The sequence below is a fragment of the Homo sapiens genome, chromosome 19 (assembly GCF_000001405.40).
Source record: "Homo sapiens chromosome 19, GRCh38.p14 Primary Assembly".
NCBI lineage: Eukaryota > Metazoa > Chordata > Mammalia > Primates > Hominidae > Homo > Homo sapiens.
In genome coordinates, this window is record NC_000019.10 from 11,293,178 (window position 1) to 11,299,323 (window position 6,146).

A 6,146-nucleotide genomic window follows, 5' to 3' on the forward strand; every position below is an offset into this window, starting at 1 on the left:
GTTCACACCATTCTTCTGCCTCAGCCTCCCGAGTAGCTGGGACTACAGGCGCCCGCCACCACGCCCAGCTATTTTTTTTTGTATTTTTTTTAGTGGAGACGGGGTTTCACCGTGTTAGCCAGGATGGTCTCGATCTCCTGACCTTGTGATCCGCCCGTCTCGGTCTCCCAAAGTGCTGGCATTACAGGCGTGAGCCACCGCGCCCGGCTGGTTAATTGTGCTTTTTAAAAAATATCTCCCATCCCCATAAATATGTACACCTACTATGTGCCCACATAATTAAAAATTAAACAATTTTAATCCCCTAAAAATAAAAAAGGAGACCAAGCATGTGGAGAAATAAATGTCTCAACACACCATAAGGGTGTATTGGAGTGGCCCTTCTATGATTTTGACAATGATATTAAACGTCCTGGCCGGGCGCGGTGGCTCATCCCTGTAATCCCAGCATTTTAGGAGGCCGAGGCAGGAGGATGGCTTGAACCTAGGACTTAGAGGTCAGCCCAGGCAACATAGCGAGACCGCGTCTCTACAAAAAAAAAAAAAAAAAAAAAAAGCAAGTATCTTGCATTTGCAATTCGTCGGATGCCTGCAAAGTTCCGTGGGTGTGTGATGTAGGAATCTGGGGCACGGGAAGTTATTCTTGCTTCATTTCCTGACGCTGACCGGCTGGGCGGGGTCCCTGGGGCACCCGGGCACATTTGGACGTGTTTGGCAGGGAGAGTCCTGGCCCAGCCCCGGCACGTAGGGCCGCGCTTCCACGGGCCGCCGCCAGGAGACGCGCGAGGCTGTAGATGCGGCTTTGCAGAGAAGCTGGGAGGGTAGAGGGGCTGGGGCGGTCGAGGGGCGGGGCTGCGTGCAGCCGGCCCAGATTCCTTTCCGGCCAGTTCCTTCCAGGAGCTGCTCCCACGTCTACAGCGCCGTCTGCTACTCACCCAGCTCTCTTGTATCTGAGCCTCATTTTCCCACCGTCCTTTAAGCCCGTTTTCCCACTGCTCATTTGCAGCCAAGTTTCCATCTCGCATCTTTGCGTCCCCCTTCTCTGCACCCTCCTTTGCACCCCCATTTTCCTGCTTTCCCTTGAGTCCACATTTCCCAGACCTCCTTTGCCCCCTACATTTTCCAATGCTCTCTTGCATGCCCATTTATCACCCTCTTTTGTGCCCCCATTTCCAGGCCCTCAGCCCCTGGTTCTGAGGTTCCTTACTTCAAATGACCTTTTTTTTTTTTTTTTTTTTTTCCTGAAACGGAGGAGTCTCCCTCTGTCTCCCGGGCTGGAGTGCAGTGATGTGGTCTCGGCTCACTGCAACCTCCGCCTCCCGGGTTCAAGAGATTCTCCTGCCTCAGCCTCCCGAGTAGCTGGGACTGCAGGCACCCGCCACCACAACCGGCTAATTTTTTGTATTTTTAGTAGAGACAGGGTTTCACTGCATTAGCCAGGATGGTCTCGATCTCCTGACCTCGTGATCTACCCACCTCGGCCTCCCAAAGTGCTGGGATTACTGGCGTGAGCCACCGCGCCTGGCTTCAAATGACCTCTTAAATAAAGGTGTGGAAGGACACACTCCTGGCTGTGAACAGCACCCGTGGTCCAGGAGGAGACAGCACTCCTCTGTGAACATCTTGCTTAGTTCTACATGTTCCAAGAAGCAGGCGATTTGACAGACATTCATTAAATTAATTAAAGTGTAAGGTATTTTCTCCCATTTGAACCATCCGCCTTCCCCCAATCCATGCAGGACCTGGACCCAGACACACCCCAGCCCAGGGCTGGACAGAGAGGGGATCGGGGTGGGGCAATGTGAAGCTGCTATGGTTAGGGTGGGGAGGTATGGGGGCAAAGTGGGCTACAGACTGCAGGATCTAGGCCTGGAGGTCTTCAGTGCTGACATACAGAAGGTTTTTGGTCCTGAAATGCTAACTACATCTATCACCATGGAGAAAAGCCCAATGACCTGCTACTTGGGAGGCTAAGGTGGGAGGATCACTTGAGCCAGGGAGGTCGTGGCTGCAGTAAGCCATGATCACACCACTGCACTCCAGCCTGGGCAATGGAGCAAGATCCTGTCTCAAAAGAAAAAAACCCAGTGACCAATGGCTCACAGTTCCAGGACTCTCTGCCTTACAGGTTCCTGCCCTCATGTTACTCTTGGGGCTTCAAAGCCTGGTCTTGCTTCCTGTGTGGCCTCAGGCAGTTCCCTTGGCCTCTCTGAGCCCTGTATGAAGGATGGGCCAAGTATGGGCTTGGGCTTGGGAGGCCCGGTGGCTTGTAGCTAGATTTCTGCATCACAGAGCCTCTGGATCCATTCATTCATTCTCCGCGGGTTTCTTAAGTACTGCAGTGCCAGGCTTTGGGGACACAGCTGTTTTTGTTTTTGTTTTGTTTTGTTTGAGACAGAGTCTCACTCCGTCAACCAGGCTGGAGTGGAATGGCACGACCTCAGATCACTGCAACCTCCACCTCCTGGGTTCAAGTGATTCTCCTGCCCCAGCCTCCCAAGTAGCTGGGATTATAGGCGTGTGCCACCACACCCAGGTAATTTTTGTATTGTTTGTATTGTTAGTAGGTCTCAAACTCCTGACCTCAGGTGATTCGCCCGTCTCCGCCTCCCAACATGCTTTGACTACAGGTGTGAGCCACTGCGCCTGGCAGGGGTCACAGCTGTTAATAGGACAGCCCAAGTTCCCCCCTCCCCCGCTTGGATCCCCCAGTCTACTAGGAGATGTCAACTGTGCAAGTGGTTAGCTCTGGGCACTATGCCCACAGGGTCCTGGTGGCATCTGGAGGGTACCAGGGTAGCATACCATGCCTGTTCTCTTTCCCTGCTGTGACCTGTTTGAAGGATGAGGAGCCAACAGGGGGCAGTTTGGGGCACCTGATTTCCCTGGACCATGAGCCTTGCTCCAGAACCCAATTGTGATGTGATAAAAGGCTTATGACCAGGGCAGGGGGCAGCTGCTGGGCCGCCTTGGACAACCATCAGGCAGCCAGGACACAGAGGGGCAGAGCAAGTCAGCATTGGCGCCCCTTCCTCAGATCCCTATCATCTTGGGAAACAGTAGCCCAGAGGTTCAGGAAGATGTTAACTTAAATGTTCAGGGTGCCCCAGTCTGTTCAGCATGGCTGAAATCCACACTCCGTATTCTTCCTTGAAGAAACTGTTATCTTTACTCAATGGCTTCGTGGCTGTAAGTATGTCACAATCCAGGCCCCTGGTTTGTTGCAGCCCTTCCTCCACAGTCAGCTCCCTGAAAGACAGAAATAAGTTGATCCAAATTGGCATCGAGATCTGTGGTTCCCTGGAGAAGCAGGAGGGATGTAGGGCAGACGGAGGAGGAGGAGCAGGGAGCGTGGGGACCTCCATCAACCGAGAGCTGGTGAAATCCAGCACAGATGAGTGTGATCTGGGGGAGCCCAGGTGGGTGATGGAAGAGCTTGGCTCTAAGTCAAATCCTGTAGCCGACCAAGTTGTTTGGGAAGGCCAGGAGAAAGGGTTATTTTCTTGATCTTTTAAATTTGTCACATTTTTTTCCTTACCGTAAAAGTAACCCGAAATGTACATTGCTAAGGAATTGTCAGGCCGGGGGCGCTGGCTCATGCCTGTAATCCCAACGCTTTGGGAGGCCAAGGCGGGTGGATCACGAGGTCAGGAGTTCAAGACCAGCCTTGGTCAATATGGGGAAACCCCATCTCTACTAAAAATACAAAAAAATTAGATGGGCGTGGTGGCACGTGCCTATAATCCCAGCTACTCAGGAGGCTGAGGCATGTGAATTGCTTGAACCTGGGCGGCAGAGGTTGGCAGTGAGCCGAGATTGTGTCACTGCACTCCAGCCTGGGCAACATAGCGAGACTCTGTCTCAATAAAAAAATAAAAGAATAAAAACATAAAAAGAAGTAATTGTCTTCATTGTAGCATAGTCTAAGGAAAAGCTGCCAGGAAAGAGAAGGAAATGAAATATCACTCCTCCTCTTCACTTGTAACATTTTAAAGAGAATTAAGGCCGGCTGTGGTGACTCATGCCTGTAATCCCAGCACTTTGGGAGGCCGAGGTGGGCAGATCCATTGAGCCAGGAGCTCGAGACCAGCTATAGTGAGATCCCCATCTCTATTTAAAAAATAATAATACAAAATAAAGTGTTATTGGAACATGGCCGTGCTCACTTATTTGGAGATTGTGAACAGCTGCTTTTGGGCTACACCAATAGAACTGCGTAGTTTCAACAGACACCTTAAGTCCTGCAGAGGCCACAACATCTGGGTTTTTCAGAAAAAAAAAATTGCTAATCCCTGTCCTATGACATTATTTTATTTTATTTTATTTTATTTTATTTTGAGACGGAGTCTTGCTCTGTCACCCAGGCTGGAGTGCAGTGGCATGATCTCAGCTCACTGCAACCTCCACCTCCCAGGTTTAAGCGATTCTTCTGCCTCAGCCTCCTGAGTAGCTGGGATTACAGGTGCCCACCACCACGCCCGGCCAATTTTTGTATTTTTAGTAGAGACAGGGTTTCGCCATGTTGGCCAGGCTGGTCTCGAACTCCTGACCTCAGGTGATCCACCTGCTTCGGCCTCCCAAAGTGCTGGGATTACAGGTGTGAGCCACTGTGGCTGGCCTATTTTATTTTTTGAGACAAGGTCTTGATCTGTCATCCAGGCTGGAGTACAGTGGCACAGTCATAGCTCACTGCAGTCTCAACCTCATGAGCTAAAGTGATCCTCCCACTGCAGACACCTGAGTAGCTGAGACTACAGGCACGCACTACTACTGGCTATTTTTTTTTTGTTGGGGAGAGGGTACAGATGAGGTCTTACCAAGCTGGTCTTGAACTCCTGGGCTCAAGTCTTGGCCTTGGCCTCCCAAAGTGCTGGGATTACAGGCATGAGCCACCGCACTCACCCAGTTCTATTTGTATACAACTAACAGATTACTTTTCTTCCTTTCTGGTTTCTGTTCTAAAGGTGTCTGGCATCATCCTAGTTGGCCTGGGCATTGGTGGTAAATGTGGAGGGGCCTCTCTGACGAATGTCCTCGGGCTGTCCTCCGCATACCTCCTTCACGTTGGCAACCTGTGCCTGGTGATGGGATGCATCACGGTACTGCTTGGCTGTGCCGGGTGGTATGGAGCGACTAAAGAGAGCAGAGGCACGCTCTTGTTTGTAAGTTGGATCTGCACACAGACCCCAGAACTGCCTCCCCACACACACAAATCTTTTATTGTGCGTGTTGCAAACAACTTTGCTTGGTGTCACCTATTTTTTTTTTTTTTGCGGGGACAGGGTTTCACTCTGTCGCCCAGGCTGGAGTGCAGTGGCACAATCTTGGTTCACTGCAACCTCTGCCTCCCAGGTTCAAGCGATTCTCCTGCCTCAGCCTCCCGAGTAGCTGGGATTACAGGCACCCCTACCATGCCCTGCTAATTTTTGTATTTTTAGTAGAGACGGGATTTTGCCATGTTGGCCAGGCTGGTCTTGAAGTCCTGACCTCGTGATCCACCCGCCTCGGTCTCCTAAAGTGCTGGGATTACAAGTGTTGAGCCACTGCTCCCGGTCGAATTGTTTTAAACTGGAGAGGCCAGGGTGGCCTGGGGTGGAGGGTCGGGGGAACAGAGACAACCCCTCACCTGCAGGGTATAAGGTCGGGAGGAGGCTGAGCAGGCTCCCAGGCCCTCTCTCCCCGTGTGTCTTTTAGTGCATCCTGTCAATGGTTATTGTCCTCATCATGGAAGTTACAGCTGCCACAGTGGTCCTTCTTTTCTTTCCAATTGTAAGTACAGCCCTGCTCCTCCCACATAGCATTAGAAAGATAAAGAACCAAGGACGGGCACAGTGGCTCACGCCTCTAATCCCAGCATTTTGGGAGGCTGAGTCTGGTGGATCACCTGAGGTCATGAGTTTGAGACCAGCCTGGCCAACATGGTGAAACCCCGTCTCTACCAAAAATACAAAAAATTAGCCAGGCGTGATAGCACGCACTTGTAATCCAGCTACTCAGGAGGCTGAGGCAGGATAATCCCTTGAACCCGGGAGGCAGAGGTTGCAGTGAGCCAAGATTGCACCACTGCACTCCAGCCTGGGCAACAGAATGAGACTCCGTTAAAAAAAAAAAAAAGATATAGAACCAATAGAAGTCCGCCCCTCCCC

At 51.4% G+C, this 6,146-nt stretch overlaps 1 protein-coding gene across 8 annotated transcripts in view, besides 2 other annotated features; it reads left to right on the forward strand.

Annotated features, from left to right (window-relative positions):
* The first annotated feature begins 2,982 nt into the window (after nt 1–2,982).
* Nucleotides 2,983–6,146, forward strand: part of TSPAN16 (tetraspanin 16) — a 30,837-nt gene continuing 27,673 nt past the window's right edge. For 5 of the 8 annotated variants that reach the window (NR_104199.2, NM_012466.4, NM_001282509.2 and 2 more), the window contains exons 1-3: nt 2,983–3,189; nt 4,965–5,162; nt 5,695–5,769. Coding sequence is in view for 7 of the 8 variants with exons in the window: in NM_012466.4 (NP_036598.1) it covers nt 3,121–3,189; nt 4,965–5,162; nt 5,695–5,769 (342 nt within the window). In the remaining variant the exon portion in view is untranslated. Of the gene's footprint in view, nt 3,190–3,325; nt 3,420–4,964; nt 5,163–5,694; nt 5,770–6,146 lie in introns of those variants that run through there. The other 3 variants (NM_001282510.2, XM_024451450.2, XM_011527903.4) reach the window with 2 other exon arrangements.
* Nucleotides 5,016–5,517: an enhancer, noted in NCBI's record as "NANOG-H3K4me1 hESC enhancer chr19:11408869-11409370 (GRCh37/hg19 assembly coordinates)". NCBI's record gives its function as "activates a minimal SCP1, AML or CMV promoter by ChIP-STARR-seq in naive H9 embryonic stem cells {active_cell/tissue: H9 hESC(naive)}" and the evidence as "EXISTENCE:reporter gene assay evidence [ECO:0000049][PMID:30033119]".
* Nucleotides 5,518–6,017: an enhancer, noted in NCBI's record as "NANOG-H3K4me1 hESC enhancer chr19:11409371-11409870 (GRCh37/hg19 assembly coordinates)". NCBI's record gives its function as "activates a minimal SCP1, AML or CMV promoter by ChIP-STARR-seq in naive H9 embryonic stem cells {active_cell/tissue: H9 hESC(naive)}" and the evidence as "EXISTENCE:reporter gene assay evidence [ECO:0000049][PMID:30033119]".